The sequence below is a fragment of the Homo sapiens genome, chromosome 5, assembly GCF_000001405.40.
Source record: "Homo sapiens chromosome 5, GRCh38.p14 Primary Assembly".
NCBI lineage: Eukaryota > Metazoa > Chordata > Mammalia > Primates > Hominidae > Homo > Homo sapiens.
In genome coordinates, this window is record NC_000005.10 from 31200856 (window position 1) to 31228574 (window position 27719).

At 37.9% G+C, this 27719-nt stretch overlaps 1 protein-coding gene and 1 long non-coding RNA gene across 6 annotated transcripts in view; one reads left to right on the plus strand and one right to left on the minus strand.

Moving 5' to 3' along the window:
• CDH6 (cadherin 6) overlaps positions 1-27719 on the plus strand; it is a 135461-nt gene that overhangs the window by 7170 nt on the left and 100572 nt on the right. The window lies entirely within an intron of this gene.
• LOC105374709 (uncharacterized) lies at positions 820-16245 on the minus strand. Of its 2 annotated transcripts, XR_007058714.1 has the most exons (5): positions 12952-16245; positions 8972-9041; positions 5655-5759; positions 3127-3221; positions 820-903 (listed from the first exon to the last, which is right to left on the minus strand). It is a non-coding gene; the product is annotated as an uncharacterized LOC105374709 (long non-coding RNA). The 2 variants fall into 2 exon arrangements; XR_001742626.2 differs by lacking the exon at positions 820-903 and having other exon boundaries at positions 3008-3221.

Genomic DNA, 27719 nt, shown 5'->3' on the forward strand with positions numbered 1-27719 from the left:
TAGCCTTCAAGGAAAGTTTGATCATTAGAAATATAATCAGAGAATGTGAGACACAGGAAGGAGCTTAAAGATGACTTTATCTAATACTCTTCATTTAACTGTGAGATAACTGATGACCAGAGAGATGAATAACTTATCCATGGATATATTTGATTTATTTTGTTCTCTTATCTCTATCTTTCTCTGCTGTGGCTTGATTTCTAGTTGTTGAATGTTATTGCTTTTTATCATCACCATTTAATTCTGGCATTAAAAATTAAAGAGGAAATTTAAATAAAGAATATTATTATTTATAATTATTCTGTGAAGGGACAAATGTGGATACTTGCGGTGAAGATAAGGATGTAGGCTTCTTTAAGAATTTTGTGTGTTCCTACATTTTGCAAATTTCCTATTGCAAAGAAGAATTAATATTTTCCCTCAAAATATTGACCATTGCTAGGGAGACATATGATAAGGTTTGGGGTTTTGTTTTATTTGTAATGGATTGATGGCAGTTTTGAGTAAACCTTATCTAAATCAGTGATTCCCCAGGAGACCCAAAGTTGTATCCATCTTTGAAATAAAAAAAATCATTGGTCAGTGGTTAGATATGAGAAATGATGACAACCTATTGTGTGTCTCATAAATCTCAATTTATTTGATTTAAAGAAATCAGACAGTAACCTTCCCACTGCTTTGAAGTTAAAATGTCAATTCTTTCATGGAAATATGGGGAAAGATTATGATGGCTCTTTCCTTGGCAAAATTTAAATTTGGCAAGTAACTCAATGTCAATCCTCTCCCCTTTAAAAAATAAAACTGTTAATGTTCCATGAAATCCAAAAGTCTGGGGACCACTGGTTTAATACAATGACTGACATCATGTTGAGAAATGATTGACCTGGTTCTCTTCCTTCTTATCTGGATGAACAAAAAGTAAAGGGGAATTATAATTATATTTAAAACACCAAAAAGACAAACTAAACAAAAGCCATTTAATGAAAAGGTATCCTTGGGTCTCTTAATTAAAACTTACAGAGATTAATACTAACATTTGGAATACTAATATGATCTTTGACCATATTAACATATCCTCAAAAAAAATATGCTTTGCCAAGCTCATGGCCAGAATGTGTCATTAATAGTGAATTTGCCCACTTGATTACAAAGCGGATAATTCAGTGGGAAATGAAAAGTTTTAAATTTATATCTAACTCTATAAGCCGGAACAAACACAGCCCACCTTAACCATATAAATTATAAAATCAGTGTCTTTTTTTTTCTAAAAGTGAACTTTGTATAATTGTAGACAAAAATTTACTAACATGTTGGTCTGTGTTTTGAGATATACATTTTTACTTCAAAAAGCAATTGCCTTCTAGTGTATAGTATAGATTTCAGTCATTAAAATGAGCTTATCGTATTTTTAACTGCAAAGCTTAAATCTCCTTTTGCAGAATTAAAAAAGAAAGAGAGTCTCATTAATCTACTAGCATCCACTTTAAAATATTTGCAGGCCGGGCATGGTGGCTCATGCCTCTAATCCCAGCACTTTGGGAGGCCAAGGCAGGCGGATCAACTGAGGTTAGGAGTTTGAGACCAGCCTGACCAACATAGTGAAACCCCATCTCTACTAAAAATACAAAAAACTTAGCCAGATATGGTGGCAGGCACCTATAATCCCAGCTACTCAGGAGGCTGAGAGGGAGAATCGCTGGAACCCAGGAGGCGGAGGTTGCAGTGAGCCCAGATCACGCCATTCTACTCCAGCCTGGGTGATAAGAGCAAAACTTCACCTCAAAAAAATATATATATATACACACACATATATATATATGCAACTGTATGTATATATACACATATATACATACATGCGTATATATGTTACATATATACATATATGCGTGTATATATGTAACATATACACGCATATATGTATATGTCACATATATATGTGTATATATGTGACATATATAAAACTATATGTATATATACACACACATATATATATGCAAAATATATATATATTTGCAACTGCTCAGTTTTGTACTCAACAAAATATTCTAAGCTCCCCTTAGCAACAGTTTCTAATTTAATACCAATCAAAATGGCTTGTGGTCAGTCTAATTACCAATGCAAAATGATAAAATCTACCTTGACTGTTACATTACTGCTGACTCCTCATTTGAACCAAGTTCAGCGACTTTTCTCCCAACAATTATTCTTGTATTAAGCTACTTGTTTAAAAGTATCTAGTAGAGATATTGTCAGTGTTTCATAAAAGATTAATTCTATTAGTGTGGCCTTGTGATAAATATCAGTTCCACATTTTCCCTCTCTGATTTACCTGCTTTTTTATAAAGCGAGAGAGAGAGAGAGATGTTTCAGGCAGGTCCTTTTTTTTTTTTATTTATTTTTTATTATTATACTTTAAGTTTTAGGGTACATGTGCACATTGTGCAGGTTAGTTACATATGTATACATGTGCCATGCTGGTGCGCTGCACCCACTAACTCGTCATCTAGCATTAGGTATATCTCCCAATGCTATCCCTCCCCCCTCCCCCCACCCCACAACAGTCCCCAGAGTGTGATATTCCCCTTCCTGTGTCCATGTGATCTCATTGTTCAATTCCCACCTATGAGTGAGAATATGCGGTGTTTGGTTTTTTGTTCTTGCGACAGTTTACTGAGAATGATGATTTCCAATTTCATCCATGTCCCTACAAAGGACATGAACTCATCATTTTTTATGGCTGCATAGTATTCCATGGTGTATATGTGCCACATTTTCTTAATCCAGTCTATCATTGATGGACATTTGGGTTGGTTCCAAGTCTTTGCTATCGTGAATAATGCCACAATAAACATACGTGTGCATGTGTCTTTATAGCAGCATGATTTATAGTCCTTTGGGTATATACCCAGTAATGGGATGGCTGGGTCAAATGGTATTTCCAGTTCTAGATCCCTGAGGAATCGCCACACTGACTTCCACAATGGTTGAACTAGTTTACAGTCCCACCAACAGTGTAAAAGTGTTCCTATTTCTCCACATCCTCTCCAGCACCTGTTGTTTCCTGATTTTTTAATGATTGTCAGGCAGGTCCTAATTAAGACAACAGAATGAAGTGGAGTCACTTACGAGTTAATGTACCCAAGAGGAGGTGGTCCCAAACCTCCAGATACAAAAAGTGCCTGCTCAGCCATAACTTTTGCATTCATAGCAAATGCTATTACCTGGAAGAAAATTGCATTTAAGATAAGAATGCAGGAATGTCAAATGCAAGTGCTGTATTTAGATATTTTGTCTGATACTTTTTTTCTTCCTCAAGTTCACTTTTGATTCTGTTACCACACTCCAAAATATCTTTCCAAAGAGCACTGTGGTTTGTTTTTCTTAGAAAACTTTTTCTTCTTGAGTTTAAATGGGCATGTACTTTGTGTTCCAAAAAGCAATGAAATTAAATTGAAGAGATGACCTCAGTACATGAGTGGACAGAGCAAGGTGCTTAGTGGTTATCTGAATAACCACTTTCTCCCCAAACGTAACGCTAGGGAGGACGGGTACTTTATTTAAAATATGAAGTTGGAAGCAACATAAGAGTAAAGTGCTCTCAAGCAACTGAGTTTAATTTGATATAATAAAAGATTTCTATGTGGTGGGCAGAGAAAGGAGAAATTATTGAAACCGTAGGCTGGATTAATTGGGCACTATAGAATAAAAAGTTGGCTTTGCACCTTTGAGGTTCTGAACATTAATTGAGCATATGTTTGCTTCCCAATTTCTCACTAAACCAAAATGGATTTTTAAATGGCTTTTTTCTCTTTTTTCTTTGTATGATAATCTTTTTATCACGGCTGGTTAGAGAAACCAATCACAGAAGATGAGAGCCAAACCTGTCCCGTTTTGGATTTTAAAATATGCACTAATGTCTATAATCTTGTAAAAGACTTTAAAGCGAGAAGTGAAATTTGGACTGCATGTTAAACTCCACAATCAAAAAAAAGCAGCTACAAGATTCTGACTACCAAGGAGATGCTGAGTTTGTCAAGTACTTTCCAATTTAGGTTTTACCTGATTGACAAGTGTTCCTAAGAATGATATTCAGCCAAGACTTTTGGGAAAATCCATTATTTGATTCCCTGCACAGCAAAAGCCCACCTGATACAAACATAAGATGCTTTATGGAATAGATAAATCCAGGTTGGGGGAGAAAGGAGAAAATGGCTTTAAAATATCACTTTGCCAACTCAAGATGAGAGTTTTAAGATGAGGGCATCCCTTGTAACTGTAAGCACATAGGGAAGGCTCAATAAATGCTTACTAGGTGAAATTCTTCTCATGTAAGCTACGAAAGCATCTCTTAAATATTTTTACAACTGATTTCCTGTTCAAGCTCATGCTTGCCAGTGAAAATACACTTTTCTATCTCATGCTAACAACTTAATTTTTTATAATTCTGACCACTTTCAAATGAGCCTATTTTGAAGGAAGCCCTATCAGTGGTGTCCTGAGAGCCAGGAAGACTAAGCAACTTGATAGGGCAGCCCAGCTTTCAATAACGGAGCCACCAGCCCTCACCTTCCTCCAGGCAGGCGTTTTATTAAGGTTGGTATTCAACATTGTTGCCTGAAGCCTGATTAATAATTTATGCCTTCCTAAGCAGATTAGCAGAAGTCTGTCATTTTGATATTTTAATTCTTAGTTTGTGTTTGGAAACAGAATGTACCCCTGAGTTTACACTTTTAACATATTTTATTTTTTAGAATTCATACCTAAACTAAACAATGTCCTTGCCAAGATTTTTTTTCTCTTACAGTTTTAGTAGCCATATGTGTGACCATGTATTTTCTATCATAAATAAAACAATTGCTTATTTGCTAAGTGAATGACTTTTTTTTGCCTCTCATCCAAATAATCCTATATGTTCTTTTTAAAGTATTTTGAATTTTGTTACTTAAGGATTAAAAATAAGAAAGATGACTGGGAAAATGAAGTAGAATAATAAAACCTAACGCTTAGCACTTACAATATTTCAGGCATCATTCTAAATATCTTACATGAGTTTAATGTTCACAACAAGACTTTCAAGTAAATACTGTCAATCTTCTCAGTTTTAAAGATAAAACTAGGGAACAGAACAATTAAGCAATTTGCCCAAGGTCACATAGTTGGTTCTTTTTGGAGCTAAAATTCAATCGTGGCACCCTTGAGAACCCACATTGTTTGAACTGTTGCATTCTTGTGCCTTTTGTGCTCTATATACATGTACTGAGATCATAGAATAGATAGATGACAGATAGATAGATAGATGATAGAATAGATGGAAAATAGACAGATAGATAGGTAGATAGATGGATACATAGAAAATAGACAGGATAGATAGATTCAAATGTATGAATCTCAAATACAAAAAAAGTCAAAGGTATGGGTATTTTATATATACATATATCTTATATGTAACATGTACACATTTCTCAAGGCTTAAAAATACAGTTAGAAAGGAAATCCATTTTCTTTTTCATCCTTCAGTGAGTGTACCAGTATATTCTATAACAAGTGAGATCAATTAATTATAGCCCAAAGCAACAGGTTTCAGCCTCATAGAGGCCTTTTAGCTTTAGGCCTATCTGTTCGCTTTAATTTGAGTCAGTCTTATAATCACTTACTGTTGGTCCCAAGGGAAACCTCGCAAGGGTGTTTGAAAGGTTCAGATTCATCATTAATTACTTTATTCATTCTGTAATGTTTACCGAGGGCCCCTGTGCTCAGTTCTGCAGAGAAAGCAGGTAACAAGACAAACATACATCGACTAGCAATTTACGGAAAATAGATTATTTCCTCATACTCTATCCAAGACCAATAATACTAGCTTTGTATATAATGAATAGGATATTCAGAATTGATTATGTTTTCTATTCGCCCATACTTACATCTTACATTAATACAGAAATTAGCTTTGAGTTTCATGATTTGTAAGGTTTCTATTCATTTTCAGGTTTGGCTTTGAACCTCCTACTCAGCTTAGAAAGAAGCACCATACCTCCCTTCACTACCAAAAGCTTAACATGGTTTTATATTTTTGACGATATGCCTCAGAATATTTTCTTGGTGGTCCCTTCACTAATCCCTACAATTTCCCCAGTGATTTTGCCACAAAGCACAAAGCCATACATATACTGGTCAGTCAAAATACAGTTCAGCAAGAAATCACTCTACACAAGAAGACTAGTTAAAATTTAGGATTGAGGTGATAGGATTTCAATTCGACTCAGCCATTTAATGAACACTTTTGGGCAAGGCATTGTGTCAAGTGCCACAGATAATGCCATGCCTTGATGTCAGATGAGGTGCAGTATGTGGTCAAAATTAAACATGACCATTAAAAGCTGCTATTTTAGAAAGTTATTCTTTCAGAATTCAGGTCTTTTAGTCATGAAATCTATTGGGATCTTCCATTACTAACTCTGGAGTTGAATGTGTTGACACTCACACTCCTTGCTAATATCCAGCTGACCAGTGCTCCCACTCATCTTCACCTGGCCAAATCTTATTGGATCTTCAGGACAAAGACCAAGAATCTGCTTCTCCAAGAAGCATTCTCTGACCCCCACCTACCTATCTGACTCTTAGCTTAGATTCCTAATGGTGTGAGTGTGTCAGAGCCTTTACTTAGTCTAAGCGTAACTGTAAAAACATCTTTTCAAAAGTCTCTGCATGACTGTCTAGGTCTCACCTATCACACTGTAAACATCTGGAAAACAAAGCCACTGAGTCTTCCTTTTACCAAAAAGGCCTAGCCTTGTTTTTGACAAATGGCAAGAACACATTAGATGTTTGTTGAGAGAACAAAAGGAGAGAACTCATTATGAAACTCTGGACAACATTTATATACCTCTCTACATTTTTTGTGTTGGAGGTTAGTTTTCTTTTCTAATAATTTGATTTCTTTGGATACATCGAGGCAATACACTTAAGAAGCAAGAAGATTGGGGCCAGCCTTCTAGACTGTTCAAAGGGTTACACCCAACAGAAGGGAAATATTCCCGAGATGACCTTGGTGCCTGTTGGGGTGATCAAGCCCAACACCAGGCCGTCGGGGCTACAAAGTCCAGTGGGGTCAAAGGAATGAGAAAAGACAAGTTAAGAGTGCATAAAGTGTATCCAGGGGGCTAACGCTAGATTGGAGGCTGTGAAGGCCCGGAGCTCTGGGAGCCCACACTATTTATTGCTGGAGTAGAAAGGTAGCAGTGCATCAAGTGTAGCTGTGACAGTTTAGCATTTTCTTTGACACATATAGAATATGCTCTGCTGCTTGATATAATGGAGAGCATGTTTATGAGCCTGGGAGAGCAACCAACAAGTCTGTGCACATTCCAGAGGCTACGAGGGGCTTTATGCCCTGAGCCCTGGATTCCATCCAAGCCGCAAGGGGTTTTATGCCCTGGGCTTAGATTTGTGGCGTGGCAGTGCAGCCTTCCACCCTTTGGCACAGAGCTTGGTGTTCCAAAGGCCACGAGGGGTTTTAGACCCTGGACCCCGGACATCCTCCAAGGATCTTTTATATTACGACAAACAAGCCAGTCCTGCCTCAGCTCTTCTACCAACAGGTACCTTTGGCCAAATGTCTGAAATAGGGTTACAGATTCTATAACTGATGGATCTCCTAACAGGATAATTGAGTGTCTTATAGGGAAGTTGACATTTTTTTGGTTACTCTACTCCAAGGCATTGAATTGTTTACAGTTTTTATTTGTTCATGGTGGAAACTGTGGCTGTATATTATTTCTTATTGGTGTAGGCTAGTATGATAAACTTTGCTTATCTTTTAGTTTGTTATCAACCCATAGTAGCACATCAAACTGAATCTACAAAAAAAACTATGGAAAACCCTTATGTATGTGTTTCATGAGCAAAATTACCTTTGCTTCAAATTCCAACCTTGGAAATGTTTCTTGAGTTTCTACAGGTAGTCTAATACCAGATTCTATGTACCTTGTTGTAACCTTGAACATGGCTGTACCAAAAAGACTGAATTAAATTCAACTGATTATGTAGTCCAATTTCATTCCTCAAGTGGCCGTCAATGCATGGAATAGGATCTTCATGAATATTGCTTGGCAGTGAAACATGCAGTTCAACCCAGCTCTATCTGAGCATGCCAACTGTTTTGTAAGGTTGTGAGATGAAGTGGGAGAGGTCTGGATGATTTCCCTTATAATTCCCTATTTAATGTGATATCCATCATTCTGAAGCCAAAGGTATATGGAGAATTTTAAACTTACTAATCAATAGAATAGAAATTAGGTTTTTATGTTTGTTTGTTTTTTTAACATAAGTGAATTTCCTAGACTAGAGTAGGTACCATGGTAGCTTTTGGCAAATCTTCTACTGCATCTCACCACTGTGGGAAATTGCAACTTCCAAGGAAAAGGAGTAGAAACTACAGGCTCAAAAAAATGAGATCAGTGATTCCCAGCATTGTGTTTGAGCCTCTGCACAATTCTCTTGCTTAAAGCCTTCCAATCAGTAACCTCTCTTATTAATACAAGTGATCTAAACTGGTTTAGGGCATCCTCTCCCACACTGCACATCCCCAGCTTTAGAATGAGAAGTAGAGAGTTAAAAAATTTTCAGGAGTGATTAAGCTAGTGGGAGTAAAGGGGAAGGCAATAAGTAACCCTATTAACGGGAAAGGCGGTCAGAAAAGCAAGCTACAGTCATTCATGCTCAGCATCCTAAAGATCTGATTGCTTCTCACTCTGATTCTCTAAGTGTTTTCAGCTGGTATATTGGGACACTTTGGACTATGAGTAAGAGAAAATCCCATCTCGAACTGGATTAAACAGAAGTAAAATTATTATTTTACATAAGAGACAGTCTACAGGAAAGCAGGCTGCAATCGATCTGTTAGATCAGTGATATAACCAAAATTTCAGGATCTTTCTATCTCCCTCCTGCTATCCTCAGCATCAAAGTCATTCACCTGGTGATTTGCCTCAGAGTCGAAGATGGTTGCTGGTGGCAATTGGAGCTACACCCTTCCATATTTTTGTCTAGTAGAAAAGAGAAAAAAAAATCTTTCTCACAATTAAGGATTAAGGGTAATGTCCTTCAGCTCATTGTGCCAACTTAGGTCATATGACCACTCAATACAATATTAAGTGCTGGAAATTCTAGGTGCTATTTAGCTTTTTAGAATAAAGACCCATTCTTGGGACCAGCTTTTCTTAAATTGTGTGTGTGTGTGTGTGTGTGTGTGTGTGTGTTTGCAGAAGGCAAATACTTGAACAAAACTGAGATTCTGTTTGGAAGAAAGAAAAGGGTGAGAAAGATGCTGGGTAGTCAACAAACACCATAAACTATGATTTAGTCACTTAAAGTCAGTATCGCTGGGGGTGCGGCGACTCACGCCTATAATCCCAGCACTTTGGGAGGCCGAGGTGGGTGGATTGCTTGAGGCCAGGAGTTCGAGTTAACATGGTGAAACCCATCTCTACTAAAAATACAAAAATTTGCCGGGCATGGTCGTGCGTGCCTGTAATCCCAGCTACTCAGGAGGCTGAGGCAGGAGAATCCCTTGAACCTGGAAGGCGGAGGTTGCAGTGAGCCGAGATCACGCCACTGCACTCCAGACTGGTTAACAGAACGAGACTTCATCTCAATAAATAAATAAATAAGTATTGCTGATACTTTGTGATTCTGATACTAAGTGAAAATATAAGTACAGTCATCAGTATCTGTAGAGAATTGGTTTCAGGACACCCCTCCTTCCCCCAGCAGATACCAAAATCCAAGGATGCTCAAGTCCCTTATATAAATGGTGAAGTATTTGCACATAACCTACCTACATCCTCCCATATACTTTAAATCAACTCTAAATTACTTATAATACCTAATACACTATCAATGCAATGTAAATAGTTGTTTTACTGTATTTTTGTACTTGTATTATTTTGTATTGTTATTTTTTGGGTTTTTTTTCCTGAATATTTTTGATCCATGATTGGTGGAATCTGTGGAAGCTGAACGCACAGATACAGAGGGCCAACTGTATTGTATAAGCAAAGGATTCAATGGAATTCTATTTAATAAACTATAGCTTTAGAGGTAATAGATAACAAGACCCAAATCCACGAATTCTGTTCAATGAGGGTTACCTGCAAAATGACAATTTAGAGCAATACTAATTATTTGAAGGACCTCTGTTCCTATCTTTTATTTTAGCCTGTGTGTGAAGTGGGTTTTTGGTGTGTTTGTTTTGGGAATAGACTGACTAGAAATACATCACTGTCCAAAAGGAAAACATTTTTTTCATCTAGGGATTTGAGGCTTAACTAGCTGAAAGGAAAATATAATTTCATTTTGTTCTCATAGTCTCATTTAGAAAATAACCTTAAGAGATTCAAAGGACATCAGGCTATGTGAGCACTTTCCATGCTCTGTGGGGTGGGGGGATTTGGCTTGGGCTTCAACTTTATGAGTATGTTCTGAAGTGCTTCTTAAGAAAGTTTTTGCCTTTAGCTCTTTCCTAACCACTAGAGCTTTAAGAAACTTGAAAAAAAAAAATGTTCTTCAAAAATAGAATCACAAAACAGTTTTCTTTTTTCTTTCTTACTATAAATATCCCAAATCCTTCTTTAGGGACTTTATTTTTCTTTTAGGTTTTATTGGAAAGGCGAATAAGCTGAAATGCAGATGTTTATCTAAATCCAAGTCAAAACAGTGTGAGAAATAATTATAAAATATAAAATGAAAAGCCAACAGAGTTCTACATCTATTATCTGGGTAATTTTAGGCAAAAAAATGAGGTTCTGGGGTTGTTTTTTTTCACAAATGCATTTAGGTGGTTGTGATGTATGCCACACAACAGGATGTTCCCAAAGTGGAATAAAATCTAGAATCTTAAATTTTGTTCTTGATCTTGTTTGTATTCCCTGAGAACTGACCTTGCCACGGTGTGAGTTCACCTCTCTGCAAATGTAACTAGGACAAATATGTTTTGTTTGTGGTTGGGTTTTGTGCTTTGTGGGGTTTTGCTGTTGTTTGTTTGTTTGGCCTAGCAATCTGGGGACAGAATTAAGGAACCATAACCATAAAAGCTCCATATTTAATTAGGAGACTAGCTGTATGTGTGTGAAATTTGGAGAAAAGGGGGTATCTCATCACTGAGCTCTTCATCTGTCCTACTTTTGTATGACGAATGAATCCCAAGTTGACTGTCTAAGTATAAGAACTACCTTGTCCAAAAGATGCCCTGTTGGACATTTCTCTCGTGCAGTTTCCACCAATAAAATGAGAATAATGATAGTTTTGACTTAATCAAGGTGTTGTGAGGAATAACTCAGTTAATTGCTAATAGAACTTCCACAAGGGGCCTAGCATGTGAAAATACCCCCAAAATGTCAGATGTTTCTGCTGCTGCTATTGCTGTTGTTACTATTATTTCTTCCAAATTTTCAATCAACTTGGAGGTCCTGGGTATTTTTAAGCAACCTGCAAGCTTTTTAAAAAATTTTTCATTAATTGGAATGAGCCATGACATTTTTTTGTGTACAAATATAATGTGCCACCGGGGCTAATATTCCCATAATTCTACTCACTGAAACGTGATTTGGCTGAAACCGTAATGTGCCAAATGCGGCTGAAATTCAGAATTCCTCAGAGCCTCTTCAGCACCATTCCCTAGAAAATCTGCAACCCGATTTCATTCTCATTTGGGCTTAGGAAGGTGTGAACCAACTGCAGCCAAAATTAAGTAAGAATGGGAGATGTAAAATCTGTGAAGAAGTTTGTCATCTTGGCCTGAGGGTATTACTCTAACCTGTTTGCCGGCCTGCCCTTGTCCACGGGGTAACGACTGGAGAAAAGTGATAGATCACAACTGTGGCATCAAAAACTCATGGTGTTCACATGAACGTGCACACACACACACACACACACACAGCTCCACCACCAAAAATGCCCCAAATAAAATAGGAGAATTGACTTATAATTCTAGAAATCAAGGCTACCAGCTAGTTGAAGCTGCTTTTCTAGCCCACGTAGGTGCCCCTGGACACCTTCCTTTGCTATTCCCCACTCCTATTTTTCCCGTAGTCATTTATTCATACTCATTCATTTACTCATTTCTATCTTCAACAAGTACTGATTGTTTGCCTACTATGCACTAATTACAGAAGATAAGATGATAAGCATAATTACTTTTCCTTCACTGAGAGCTTTATGTCTCTAGAAAAATTCTCAAAAAATATGTGGTAGAAGTTATTTTGAATGCGTACTCTTCAAATCTGAAAACATAGATGCAAGCTACACCGCTGGCTAGATAATAGGGATGTTATCTGTAGATAATAGGATGGGAAAGAATGTTAGAACTCAAACAATGAAAGCGCAGAATTAAGGCTGCAATCCACCCATCAGAAAATCTCCCAAGCAGCACAAGTTGCAGATATTCAAATGCAGAACGGATGCATTTTACTGCAAGGATGAAATGCTTAAAATCAAAATTGTATCTCCAAATCACACTCACAGGAATTGGCTGTTGGTGTCTCTGTCCTGTGTGGAGCTCAGCAAGAAAACAGGGGTGCTCCTTAGCTGTTGGGTGAAAGGCTCTAGAGCGTGGGTGAGGGGTTGGTTAGGGTGGTGGGTAAAGGAAAACAGCAGACTGTTAAGTGAAAGAAACAGACCAATCTGTGCGATAAACTGCTGCTTAAACAGGTTTATGCAGAATGTGACTGTATGTCTTTTTAACAGCCTCTAAAAGTCCTTTTTTTAAAGCCTTTTCGGAAGTAGTTTCCTCTTTTCCTGTTGGACTGTCAGTTGGCAGATGCCTCTGGGAAACGGGGTTCTGCTTTCTAAAAGGCTCTTAAATAATGTTGGTTAAAAATTGCTTTTAAAGCTATCAGCCGAATAGCACATTGCCCTCTTCCCCTCACCCTCCCCAGCCCTATCTGATTTGTCAATTACCTCCTTCAGAAACCTCTCGCGTTCTCTGACACCTGTGCTGACATAACATCCCCCCTCCTGGCAGGCACCTGCCAATTCTCACTGAAAAATGATTGCTAAACATTTCAGCACCAGCTCCCAAGAAGAATTCCCTCCTCTGCCCATTGGCACCATAGAAACAGCCATTGTTCCTCATAATTGTGAGTCCGAGGCTTCTACTTTGTAACTCCCTACCCCTGTGGCATTCATGAGCTCTGGAACGTCACAACTGGGGAGGGCCTGTGTTGAAACGGCAATGATTTACCAGAGGGGGCCTTGATGACCAGAAAGGTGCACGGAAAGGAATCTGTGCCTTAAAAAAAAAAAAAAAAAACAGGCAGCAGTCTGGGAAAAAACCAGACACACTGGGCAAAGCTTCTGACTTCAGAAAGAGGTCACAAGGCATGTCAAACAACTCAATCACTCTTGTTTTTAACGTTTTTCAGAATTAAATTCTGCAGGCCATTTTTCTACATCCTAAGGGGAATAAAATATCATCCATATATTTTTAAAAGGCATTAATTAAGTTTAGCTCTGACACCCAAGAGTAATGGTCCCTGACCTAAGCCCCAACCTCCAACTAGGGGATTTGGATGAGGCTAATGGTGGTTGCACAATCAGATCTGTGTCGCATATTGAATATAGGTCAAAGGATGACTGCTCTCTGCAGAAAACAAAAATAATCTTTCTAAGACACCATTTCATATTAGCATAGGCCCATATGCTCAGGATCAGAAAGAAATTATGTTGTATCTAAAAGAAATCACATTGGAAGAAAATCACATTCGAAGCTAAGGCATTTGGCAATGGAACTACATTTCTGTAAGCCTTTATTTACTGATTGCAGATAAATTTTGACCTGAAATTAATGAAAAAATGTGAGCATGTCCTGATAAAGTTTTGGAACCTCATAGAAACTGCCAATTTTGAATGATTTCATACTATAACATTCATCTCGCTACTTTCAAAATGTCTAGCTTCAAAATGTTTGAACCTTCGATGTAAAAAGCTTCACAATTCATATCAGTTCATTCCTGAGATCCAATGGAAATGGATTAAGTTGCATATATGAGTGATTCGATTTTACTGTTTTTTTATCTAGTTTCTATGATTGAAATTATAGTCCTGCTGCTGAGGAGGTATCTTACCCACTTTGGGATAAATTGGCAACTTTTTTCTGCTATAATTCTCACTGAATATTCTTTTGAATGATGTGTATAATTAACATTAGTATATTTTCAACTATAATTAGAAGAAAAGTCCTTTAGTAAGCACAATCAACTAGTTAGTGATGCTTTCTGACACTTTGTTTATTGAAAACACTTAATTACTTTTTAATCCTTTAAGTACAATATCACATAGATACTACATTTATTGGACCATAATAAACCGCTGTAGGTATGAATACTATTCAACCTAGGTTTCAATATAGTTTCTACACTGGTCCCTGAAATAGTTTAAGACATTTAATTTTCTAGTTTTACTATCCACACCTTTAAGAATGCTGTGAAGGTAATAGGTTTAGGGGTACCATCAATATTTAGGTAATAAAAAATGTAAAACCAAATAGCTGGAAGCCAATTCAGTTCTACCATGTAAAATAATTGCTGACTGGAGCAAATCAATGCTTTGAAGATGTAACCTAATAAAAAATATAACTCTGATAAAGTTAGGTAAATTGAAAATTCTAGGTCTGGTGTGCAGCAGACTCATTATTTATTCCAAAATGATGATTTTAATGTCTCCATGTCTATTTCTCTTTTTTTTTCTCATTGTGGGTATTCAAAGTCTCCATGTCTAAAGTAAAGAGCTTTGCCACAGGTATCCAGATGCAGGACGGAATCAAGTCTAAGAGCCAAAGCCTTCACCTGGTACTCACCAGCAGAGTGAGCCTGAGAAATCTCTTTTTCTCTCCATGTCCTAACTCCTAACATTATTAGGAAGATTGAATGAGATGGATGGTAAAGGCTTTGCACAGTTCTTGACTCACATGTAAGGAAACCAGGCAGCTCCCTTCACAGAATCAAACCTGGATTATCCAATTTGACGATGGACAGCAAATTTCCACATAGCAACCAAGAGACAGATGACCTAAAACCTGTGTTTCCTGATAATGACTGTGTGTTTACACTCACCATCATAAAGTAGGAAGAAGGCCCTTTGGTTTTTTTTCAAAATCTATGCCCTCCTACAGCAAAAGTATAAAGGGGTCTTAAGGTGTTTTAAAGTTCTACAACATAGTCTATTATATTATTTAGATCATGCATTTATGTACACATTCAATGAAGTTTTGGAACTTAAAATACATCTGACTTTTTTTTTTTGAAAACTTAGGGTCTGTTCTAAAAAATGAAATAATTTCAGAGTTTAAGAAGTTTGCTTGCAATCTAATGCTTATTTTGTCAATTCAGTTGCACGTAAACATTACTGTACATGCCTTGAGGGAAAAAATGTTGTTGCTCCAATACAGGGGACAGCAATCTATGGCTCTCAGGCCAAATCCAGCCACTGCCTGCTTTTGTGTGGCCTGCAGGCTGAAAATGGTTTGTCCATTTTTAAATAGTTAAAAAGAATCAACAGAAAAACAGTATTTTATGATATATACTGTATTACATATTATTTTATATAAAATTCAAATTTCAGTGTCCATAAATAAAATTTTTGGAACAAATTGTGTATGTATTGCCTATAGCTGTTTTCACTCTACCATAGCATAGTCAAATAGTTGCAACAGAGATGTGTATGGCCCACATACACATCTAGTGTATGTGGTAGTAAAGATAGTAAAAATCTTTACTATCTGGCCCTTTAGAAAAACAGTCCACTGACTCCTGCTGTAATATAGCAAGCCCTGCCACCAAAAAAAAAAAAAAAATGCAACAAGGAGTATTCAACTTAGAGATAGGTTTTATACAAAAAATTCATTGGGAAGTCAGTTATCCATGAAAACCAAATAATAAATGGCAGTTTGACTCCTGACTAGCCCGCAAATGCCAATTAACTTATAATTGATTTTAACTGTAGTACTAAAAGCCTGAGTTATGAAGTTTAGAAATATGTGACTGTTAAGTTGCATAAGAGATGAGGAAAAGATTTCCATAAACTTTTTCTGGTTGAGAGACGGTAGAGAGGCTCATGTGTGGTTTTAGGGTCCTTCTCCCTGGGTGCTGTTGTGCTCTCTGAGCAGAGGGACCTTTTATTATGCATGTTGATATTCCTCACAGTAATTCAGCCCAGGGCGTGTATAGGTGCAACAATATAGACCTGTTAAATGAAGTGGGGTTCGTACATTTCTATGTTCTGTGTGTTGAATAGTCAATTTTCCACATAATCTTTGTCTCTCTTTTGTTAGTAGGCAAAATTTTTCATAAATTTAGATCCGTTTTAAGAAAAACATTTTTAACTTTCAAATATAGTGGTTTTCAACTTTTTAAATTGTAAACCACAATAAGAAATACATTTCACATCACAGCCTAATGCACACATCCATATATACTCATAATTAAAACAAAGGTTATTCAAAAAAAGAAATTTTCTACATCAAAAAGTATCTGTTCTTTCATATTCTATTCCGTTTAACTGTTTTTAAATTCTCATCAGTCTTACCAGATGGGTTTAGTGGCCTACTAATGCGTCATAACCAACAGTGTGAAAACCTGGACCTATATTATTTCAAAATAAATAGCTGGATACTCACAAGTGAACTGATTCAATCAATCAGTTATTTCAGGACTATTAATTGAGCACTTTAATAAGTACCTGGGCCAGACACCATGCCAGACACTGGGATGCTGTAATCAACAAGACATCCTCCCTAACCTCAAAGAACTGAATGGTTAGGTGGCGAGGTAAAACACAGTAACTGATGTTGAGGGGGTGAACATTTTTCAGCTCAGCCACAGGTACACACAAGTTACAATATAAAGCCTCTAGGAGTAAGAGAATAAATCCAAGTCCCAGGCCCAGCTCTGCCTCTATTTAACTAATGTTTTCATTAACCTTGGATTTAAGGCATGGCTTCCTGTTTCGTTTAAGCTATATTTAGCTTAAATACAGTTAAAACATTGTTAAATTGTTAAATACAGTTAAAAACTGTAAAAGATACAGTTAAAAATTGAATGTAAGTACAGATGAAGCTAAAATTCGATATTTAGTAGTTTTCTTGCTGAAATAGAGATGGCATTTGTTTTTTTATTGTCATTAAAGTCTATTAAGTTAATTTTAATTTGTTTTTACAACCAATTACTAAAAATGGCATTATTATTATAATACATTTGAAATTCCAGAACAGTTAAAATCATGGAAATACCAAGTTGAAATATACTTGCAATATGTTCTTGCAACCATTACTATTTTAAGCTTAATTATAATATATTATCCAATGAAGCAATTAGGCATTTTATAAGCAGATAAATTCACAAAAACAGAAAAAAAGGACACAATGCTCAATCATTGTATTTAAAATTATAGCCAAAAGAAAACTATACCTGAAAGAGGTTTATCTCACATGTCTCAAAGATTTATAGTTAATTAAAGTAAAACATGGGTAGGTAATTCCAAAGGCACAGCAATTTCATCCATTTAACAAAGAGCTCATTTTACTGGTAGAAATTGTAGATATGAGAAAGCACAGGGGTTTTTGTTTTTAAAGAAATTGGACCCACTCTCGTTTATTTCGACAGAAAGTTCCTAAGTGTGTTCTTGCTATCTTCCCCCATTCTACCCAAGCCCAGGGTAAGCTCTGGGTTCCTTTTCTGTGAGCCCCACATTCAGCCCATCAGAGCACAGTCATCTCTTCTGCCCAAATATGTCCAGAATCCATTTCCTTTCCTCTCTCCACTTGCAGAACCTAAGTCCAAACCACAATTTATTTCCCCCTGCCCAAACTCCAGCACAGACCTCCAGCTTGTATCCCTGCTTTCTGTCTCTTGCTTCTGTGAAATCCAGGGTCTAACACAGGGTCATCTATAAAATTTAAGTCAGAGCATGTTACTCCTGCTGCTTCAAAAGCTCCCGTGGTTCCCACAGCACTAACCCACTCTCATCCCCTACCACTTCGCTCTTTCCTAGCACACTCTGCTTCAGTCACATTTAACTTCTTTCCTAGATGGGATGGTTAATTTTATGGGTCACCTTGGCTGAACCAAGGTGCCCAGATCATTATGCCAAATGTTTCTATTAAGGTGATTTTTGGATGAGATCAACGCATTTTTAAATTGGTGGATTTTGAGCGGATTAGCTTCCATAATGTAGGAGGGCCTCATCCAAGCAATTGAAGGCCGAATAGAACAAAGACTCAAACACACAAACACAGCAAGAAGGAATTCTGCCAGCAGATGGCCTTTGGACTCAAACTGCAATTCTCTTCTGTGTCTCCAGGTTACCTGTGTTTTAAAGTCCTACAAGATAAGCCATCAGATTTTTTTGACTCACCAAGCCTCCATCCACAATTGTGCAAGCTAGTTCCTTAAAGTCTCTCTCTCTAGATAGGTAGGTAGGTAGAGAGAGACAGAGAGATACACATACACACAGCCACACACATCACATCCTGTAGGTTCTGTTTTTCTGGAGCACCCTGGCTATAATACATCAAACATATCCAATTTTCCCTGTAACACTTTTGCTCTTGCCATTCCTACTCTCTGAAACTCCCTTTCCAGGCTCAACATATGACTGCCTTCTTCACATCATTCATGCCCTCTTTGAGCTGAGGCATGAATGATGTAAATGAGGCAGTTATATGTTGAGCTCACCCCAGATACACCATCACATTACCCAGTTTCATTTCCTGCATGGAGTTTCTCATCCTGAAATGACTTCTATTCATTTGTTTATTTGTATATTGTCCAATTTCCCCTGATGGATTCCAAGTTCCAGGAGGGAAAAGACCTGTTATATATTGTTCTTTGTTGGGTTCCCAGCACCTAGAACAATGCATGGGACAAGTATTCAGTAAGTATTTATTGAATAAATGAATTAGTTAAAATGTTAAAAATTCAAGTGACTTCTATGCACTATCAATCAACCATCAGAATTTGTTTTGTCCAGGAGGTCAATCTCCATTCACAGTTCATACAATGAAGAAGACAGTTGTATATCACATGAAAAAGTTGTTCCCCTCTTAATTTCCACACATATTGTATCGTTTAAGTCTTAAATGGGGAAACTCAGATACTTACTAAAATTGTCTTAAACCTCTCTTTTATTTTGCATAGTTTAGTGTAATACATTTGTTATTAAATTAGAGCTAGAACCTTATTCTTCCTTTGTACACTTCCACAATTAAAAACAGTTCTTTATATTTTTCTGTGACACATCTTCCATGTTGGAGAGCATCAAAGCATCTTGTCAGTGTGTGGACCTAGTTTCAAAGGTTCTACCTGCTAACCAGTTCCTTTTTTGAATTAATGAGACAATGTTGTTCATGTTGCCAAAATCAAAGCAAAATACTGATTTTTTTAAATGTGAGAACTCAGGAAGCAGGACCAACTCCAACAGATATGCTAAATCCACTTAAAAGTGTTTGGAATATTTTAACTTCATAAGCACATTATACTGCACTCCTTATATCTCATAGTATCTGATACTCTTAGAGTTAGTGTGAGTTATTAAAGTGAGGGATGCCAAATTCTCTATTTATTTCTTCTCTCATCTGTTCATTCATTTCATTATGAGGCATTGCTAAGGACCAAGTACTGAACTAGGTGCTAAGTATACATAGGTGAATAAAATAGACACAGTCCCTGCCCTTGAGAAGCTTACAGTCTCATGGAGGAAGGAAAAAAAAGGTAAACAAATAAGTCAATACATATGTACATAAAAACTATAATGCGTGCTATGAAGAAGGTGGACCTGGAAATAATGGTAGCAAATCACTGAGGGGGCATATTCTCTGATACAGAAGTTATAAAAAGCCTCTTCGTAACAGTGATATTTTATCCCCCAACCTGAAGGATGAAAAGGAGGAAGCCAAGAGAAAAACTGGGGGTGGGAAGATGAAAACTGGCCAAGAGTCCCAGGAAGAGGGGTCAGCATGGGTAAGGAGTGTAGGGAAGCAAGTGACTGATCCAGTTTAAGAACTAAAGGGATTTTTTTCCATGGGGCATCATCCTGAACATCTGGATTTATTCTTTCCCTTAGCCTTTGACTAAGATCTTAAGCTGTCTTGCCTGAATTCTCACCCTATCCTGGATACAGGCTGTTCAGGGGGGAGACATTTAAATAGAAACCATGTAGTTTGTCATGCAAATTGAATCTCTTGAGCAGAATTCGATTTAATAAATGTCCCAAATGTTCATTATGCAAGCACAGCCTGGCTGCACATTGACGAAGTCCTTTGTCAACAGCAGCGACTCAGTCTGTCCCCAGTCACTCACTCACCAGTCAAGCACTCCAGCTGACTGCCAGAACCCTTTAGAAAGTAAACACTACTGATTAGATAGGTTGAATCAATACTTCTTTTCCTTACATACCAGTAGTGTTGATTTCATAGGCCAGAACCAGAAACCCTTTATTGGTCTTGTGCTCAACTCACATACATTTCAGTCATCTGCAGTCAACTTTAATTCTATTCAGAAAGAATTAACACGCAACAGCTCCAAGTAATGGAATCTTGGAATTAAGAGAGAAATCATTCTCTAGAATTTTCAAAAAACTTATTTCATTGATGAAGATTTTATCTTTTTTTCAATATTTTTTCACTGACCTTTATTAAACATTTTATTAAATACACCTGAGAAAAGACTGTCTTCAAAGATTGATGACTCGTGGAAGAAATTGGAAGGAATCAGAAAGCCTGGCTTAGAGTTATGATGAAACTTGATGACGGTGCCATCTTGCACTTGATCTTTTATTCACAATTTGCACAAGCTAACAAGCTTAGGCACATTCGTCAGTTAATCAATGCAAATGTCATGTAAGGTACTGGGGAGAGAGTTGTTTAAGAAAGATGATGTGATGTGGTAGACAAGCTTGGGTTGTAGAATATTACACATGAAACTTAAAATTCCAATTTGGCCATTACGAGTTAGGAGTTTTTGAGACAGGTAGTTCCTCAAGTTATTTAATTTTTTTTTTCACTTGCAAAAGTGGGGATCAAATCTGCTAGACTTGTTGTGTGGATTATATGAGAAACCATATGTAAAACCATCCGGGAGGCTTTCTCCCAGCTAGTCAGCTTTAGAATGTGTTAGCTTGCCTTTCTCTACCCACTAACATTTTCAATGCAACTATAAAATACCTTTTTCTATTGTAGTTTTAAAAATAGGAAAGACTTCCCTTCTATAAAACTTCTTACAAGAGAAATAAATCTTAAAATGGCCAAGTGACTTTTTTTCAATAGGGATATTCACTACTTCTAGGAATGTTTTAATATTGGAAATATGTAACTGTTAATACCTGATACATAATGACAAAACTCTGACAATCAAATGAACATTCCTTAATGCCAATTTTTCCTTATTCTAAGAATGTAATCCTGCCACCTTGTAAAAGTGATTGATACAGGTATAAAGTTTGCCCTGCATATAAATCAGAGAAAGTGAATTAGATATAAGTATGTTAAGTTCCTTATTTCTCTATTTGTCATATGAATCAAATTTTATGCATTTTACATTTTGTCTGGAACAATGCTACAGAAAGTTTTTTTAATTAAAACTTTCCAAAGGAATATATTAAATCGAGCTTAATATGAAAGTGTTTTCTGCTGATGATTCAGATATCAGTGCAATTAGAATCATCTCCTGGGTGCCAAGTTCAGTGCTAAGACTTTAGTACATTTTATCTCACTTAATCCTCTTAATATCTATAAAACATAAGTATATATTTACACATATAGAGATAAATTCATTACACAGATGAGAAATTGAGATCCAGAGAAATTAAGAACTTCCTTAAAGTAGAATAATTCACTAATGGTGATTTTATAACCTAAATCAAAGTCTGTCTAATTCCACAGAGCCTCTATTACACTTGGCAAAAATAAAACTAAGCCAATCTACTATAAATTATAGGTCATCTGCTGTTTTCATTATTTTGTGCATTATCCTAATCAATACCATGATCCTTAGATATTTGAGGGACTATATTTTCTTGCAAAGTTCTCACTTTTTTGAGACGGTGAACTCATTTGTTCTTTTGCAATACCAACTCTCTCTCTCTCCCGCACTTTTCCTCTTTCTCTCTCACTTTTCCTCTCTCTTACTCTTTCTCTCTCTCTCTCACACACACATTCTTTTCAGCCACCTCTTCACTCTCTCAAGCTACACAGTGTCTTTCAGTACCTGAAAAAAATACATCTCATTTTCTTTCCCTGTTGACTTATGTACAAGTTCATTGATGCCATCTTTATCTTTAGAGTAGTAGAGATTTATTTAGAAGCCCTTTTAAAAGTGAACCGCATTTTAAGGACACAGTTTCACAGTGGCGGATAAAAATTGCTCTTAGAACTTGTTTGATGCATTTTCATCTCTTTCTTTAACTGCTTTGCTCACAATATTCTGACTTTGTATTTATTTCTCCTTGAAGAATTTGTTGTCAAAAAAATTAATTACTTTGCTGCTAATAAAATTAGGATTTCAAAAAAATGGAAGCTTTGTAACATTATCCCTCCTTCTGGGAAACATACTTGTGCTCTCTAATGTGGAACTTAGGAGTTTTGTAAATCCAGTACTTTGTTTAAATAGTTTAATGAGATTCTTATTTTATTCTTGTTTGTAATTATTTGTAGAATGTGCAGCTCTCAGTGATTTCATTCTTAAAAAACTAATTAGTATGCTATGGAATGATTTGTCTTTTGTTAATTTCTATTAACATTACATTTTGGTTCCGGTGGTGTATGTTGCACTGGATTCCTTGTGGGCATCAGTGGATGAAAGGCATGTTTAACTGTGTCCAATATAATCATTACTAATTAATGGACAAGTGAAAAGAAAGAAGAATGGATATTTTGATGCACCCTTCATTTGGAAGGCTAAAGTTTGAAATTCTATAAAAGAATTTAAAATGTATTTGCCAAAATAATTATTTTTTAAAGCTATATTTTATGATTGAAGAATACTGCCCTGCTGCATAGAGAAAGATTTATCAATGATGGTGATAATGACAATGGTGGTGGCAGTGGCGATAAACAACAATGAAAAAAATAATTGTCAACATGTACTAAGTGCTTCTGTGGGCCCAACATTATGACACTATCTCATTTAATCCTCATGGTAACCCTGCGTACTAGTCTGTCTTCAGACTGCTAATAAAGACATACCTGAAACTGGGAAATTTACAAAAGAAAGAGGTTTAATAGACTTACAGCTCCATATGGCTGGAGAAGCCTCACAATCATGGCTGAAGCAAGGAAGAACAAGTCACATCTCACATGGATGGCAGTAGGCAAAGAGAGAGAGTTTGTGCGGGGGAACTCCTCTTTATAAAACCATCAGATCTCATGAGACTTATTCACTATCGTGAGAAGAGCACAAGAAATACCTGCCCCCATGATTCAGTTACCTCCCACTGGGTCCTCCCCACAACATGTGGGAATTCAAGATGAGATCTGGGTGGGGACACAGCTAAACCATATCACCCTGTAAGACATGGATGATTTTTATCCCCATTTCACAAATGACAGAACTTAAACTTTGAGAGTTTAAGTAAATTATCTAAAGTAATATGGACAGCTAGAAGACACAGTTAATCTCCAAGTTTCCAGAGACAAAATTTGAATCACTCTCATTAGTGGGTTTTTGTTTGTCTGAGACAGGGTCTCACTCTGTCATCCAGGCTGGAGCACAGTGGCCCAATTATGGCTCACTGCAGCCGTGACCTCCCTAAGCTCAAGTGATCCTCCCACCTCAGCCTCCCAAGTAGCTGGGACTACAGGCACGTGCCACCACACCCCTCTAAATTTTGTAGAACAGGATTTTGCCTTGTTGCCCAGGCTTGTCTCAAACTCTTGGGCTCAAGTGATCCACCTTCCTCAGCGTCCCAAAGTGCTGGGAGTACACACATAAGTCACTGCACCCAGCTCTCAATACTCTTTTTAGCCTTTATAAATTAACATGTAATCTCACAATATTTATATTTCAGCCAAGTTTTCTGTATTGCTTAACTCATAATTTTAAAGCAATGGTTGTCAACTACAGGTGATTTTGCTCCCCAGGGAACATTTGGCAATACCTGGAGGCATCTCTGACTGTTACAACTGGGAGGTGCTACTGGTGTCTAACAGGTAGAAGCCAGGGATGCCACTAACATCCTGCAATGCACAGGACAGTCCCACAACAAAGAATGGTCTGGCCCAAATGCAAATAGTGCTGAGGTTTTGAAACCCTGTTTTACGGAGTTGTCCAATGAATGATTTTCTGGTAATCATGCCTTTTTATGGCTCGATTTCTGTTCTAACTGTTCTATTTGATGCATAAATGACTCTGGGCTTTGTGTTTATAGAAGACACTGCATCAACGCAGAGGGCTGACATCATCCCTCAGAGTCTCAGAGGATGTGAGCCATGTATTCTTTGGGCTTGTTGATATTATTACTCTTACTATAGACACAACATGAGAGCTCATTCTAGACATACACTGTCTGTATTAGTCATTCCCGCATTGCGATAAAGAACTACTGAGACTGGGTAATTTATAAAGAAAAGAGGTTTAATTGGCTCACAGTTCCACAGGCTGTACAGGAAGCATGGCAGAGGAAGCCTCAGGAAACTTACAATCTTGGTGGTTGGCGAAGGGGAAGCAGATATACCTTACGTGGCCGGAGCAGGAGGAAGAGAGAGAAGGGGGAGGTGCTACACACTTTTAAACAGCCAGATTGTGTGAGAACTCACTAACTGTCATGAGAACAGCAAGAGGGAAGTTCACCCCCATGATCCAGTCACCTCCCATCAGGCCTATCCTCCAACAGTGGGGATTACAATTCGACATGAGATTTGGGTGGGGACACAGAGCCAAACCATATCACTGTCCAACTGTGTTACATATTCAAATGTGCATAATGGTACTGCATGGTGGGTGCGGTTTTCCCCACAGAGTATTGTGGATAAGGAATCTGAATAGCACAGAGGTTAAATAACTCTCCTAAAATTGCGTAGCTGGTAAGTAAATGAACCAGAATGCACATTCCAAGTACATACTCCATTCAACATACCCCAGGTATAATTAGCAGGAGAAACATAGAGTCCTACATCCTGCCCTGGTCCTTTGCTGCCCTAAGAATAGGGTTTTTCCTGAAATAAAGTAATGCACTTCTCAGGTTAGATATAACTAAGTAGCCCATTGGGTAGGAGGTTTGAGAAGACATGTTCTCATTACACAGAAAAATATACTTTGAACAGTATACACAGAGTACGTATGTATGTATGTATTTTTGAGATAGCATCTCACTCAGTCACCCAGGCTGGATTGTAGTGGCAAAATCTCGGCTCACTGCAACCTCCCCTTCCCAGGTTCAAGTGATTCTCCTGTCTCAGCCTCCCAAGTAGCTGGGATTACAGGCGCCCACCACCACGCCCAGCTAATTTTTGTATTTTTAATAGAGACGAGGTTTCACCATGTTGGCCAGGGTGGTCTCAAACTCCTAACCTCAGGTGATCCGCCCACCTTGGCCTCCCAAAGTGCTGGGATCACAGGCATGAGCCACTGCGCCCGGCCCAGAGTACTTATTTCTGATGGCATACAAGTGATCATCTCTTCAAGTAATCAGCCGCTTTCTTTTCTTGGAAGAGGAACCCAGGGCACAGAGAGGTTGTGCGACTTGGCCATGTTCACACAGCATATTAGGGAAGTTCACAACCAGAGTGCAGTTCTCCTACTTCTTGTCCCTTTTTGCCTCCTCTCCCAGGGTCCCCACCTCCTTCCTACCAACACGAGAAGAAAACGGTCAGTTCAAACTCCTCTTGAACATGAAATGCTTTTACAAACTAGGAACACAAATTCGTCGTTTTTGCTATTTTCAGAAACTGTTTGGGACTGCAAATACGTTGTGAAAAACTAGGCTTTTGAAGATGAGACAGTGAAATCCCACTATCCTCATTATTATGCAATCAAATCACTCTGTGAGACTAATTAAGGATTTTGAAGTATGTTGTGTTTCTCAGAATCAAATGTGAAGAAAGGTGGTCTCATGGCTTTCATAAGAAAGGGCTGAGCCTGTTCCAACCATATAAGGGCAAAGCCTGAAAATGACCCATCCCTGGAAGCTGCTCAGCTTCTCCTAGCACCACACATCGGGTTACAGCAGACACACTCCTCTTAAAACAGGGCTCCTCAAACTCCAAAGCACACAAATCTCCCTGCCTAGCTGATGCTCGGAAAGAAGAGTGGAGGTATCTCCTCACCCTATCCCACTTCACCCCCTTTCTGAAACTAAGTTGGGCGAGAGACAAGGAAAGGAACGTACGGCGGGAAAGCACCTCCGCCCGTCAAACCACATTCTCCCAAACCCTCCTCACCCTCTCCTCCACTCCACGGTGGACGTGGAAGACAATCTACTTGGGCTTTGGGATACTTTACATATTTTCATTATGTACCCTTTCAACTGATATTTTTTATTTGCCCAGTCCCATATACTGTATACAAGTATAGAAGTACATTAATATAATAAGCATAATATAATAAATAAACAAGCATATACATTTTGAAGTTATTTGCTTTATAGTTTTTGGGAGTTCAGAAGAGAAATATTTCCTGGCTTTTTCCCAGCGTTCTAGAATAGAATGTACACCTCCCCCTCCCTAGCAGTGCATCAGAGGCAAACACCCTAGTTCTTCAACCTCTTCCTAAAACCTCACAGATCAAGGCTTCTGCCAAGGTTCCTCCAGAATTTACATCCTTTTGGCCTCCAACTCCAATTTTATTCTGTAAAGAATCAAATATAGCTTCCCTGTCAGCCACAAGCTGTGGCCGTGCTTCTCAGATATTCCCTGCTCATCAACATGCCCAGTCTCCATGCTCCATCCCACCTCCTGAGGGAACGGACCCCTACCTTAACCATCCTACATCTAAACAAACGAAGCTTAAGAAACCCAGAAAAGACAAGGAACCAGTATTAGTTGCTTCTTGCTGCTGCAACGCACACCACAAAACACATTACCACAAAACAATACAAACTTATTCTCGTACAGATTTATAGGTCAGAGGTCAGAGGTGATTACAGTGGGCTAAAAATCAGCCTGTCGGTGTGCTTGTGTTCTTTCTACAGGCTCTAGAGGAGAAGCCACTTCCTTACCATCCCCAGCTTCCAGAGGTCACCTGTTTTCTTGGCCCCTTCCGCCATTTTCAAAGCCAACAGTGTAGCATGTTTAAATCTCTCTCTCTTTGTCTCGGACTCATGCCTCACTGTCCCATCTTCTCTGACCCACCTGCCTCCCTCTTTTAAGGTCTAAGGACCTTTGTGGTTATATTGGACCCACCCAGATGATCCAGGATAATCTCCACAGCTCAAGATCCTTAACCATATCTGCGGTCTCTTTTGCCATGTGAGGTATTAATAACATAGTTCTGTGGATTGGGACGTGGGCATATTTGGAAGGCCTTTGTTCTGCCTGCTGCAGATCCCCAGTGCCAAGGTTCAGGAAGTGAATCAGCTGGAGAAGGAAGCTGCATTCACCTTGATTCCAAACTTTGTGGAATGGAGAAAAGTATGTCCCAGGGTCAGACACCCATGGACTCCCACCCCAGCTTTGCCAATAACCCAGTTGTACAATCCTAGGCAGTGGTCCCCAACCTTTTTGGCACTAGGAACTGGTTTTG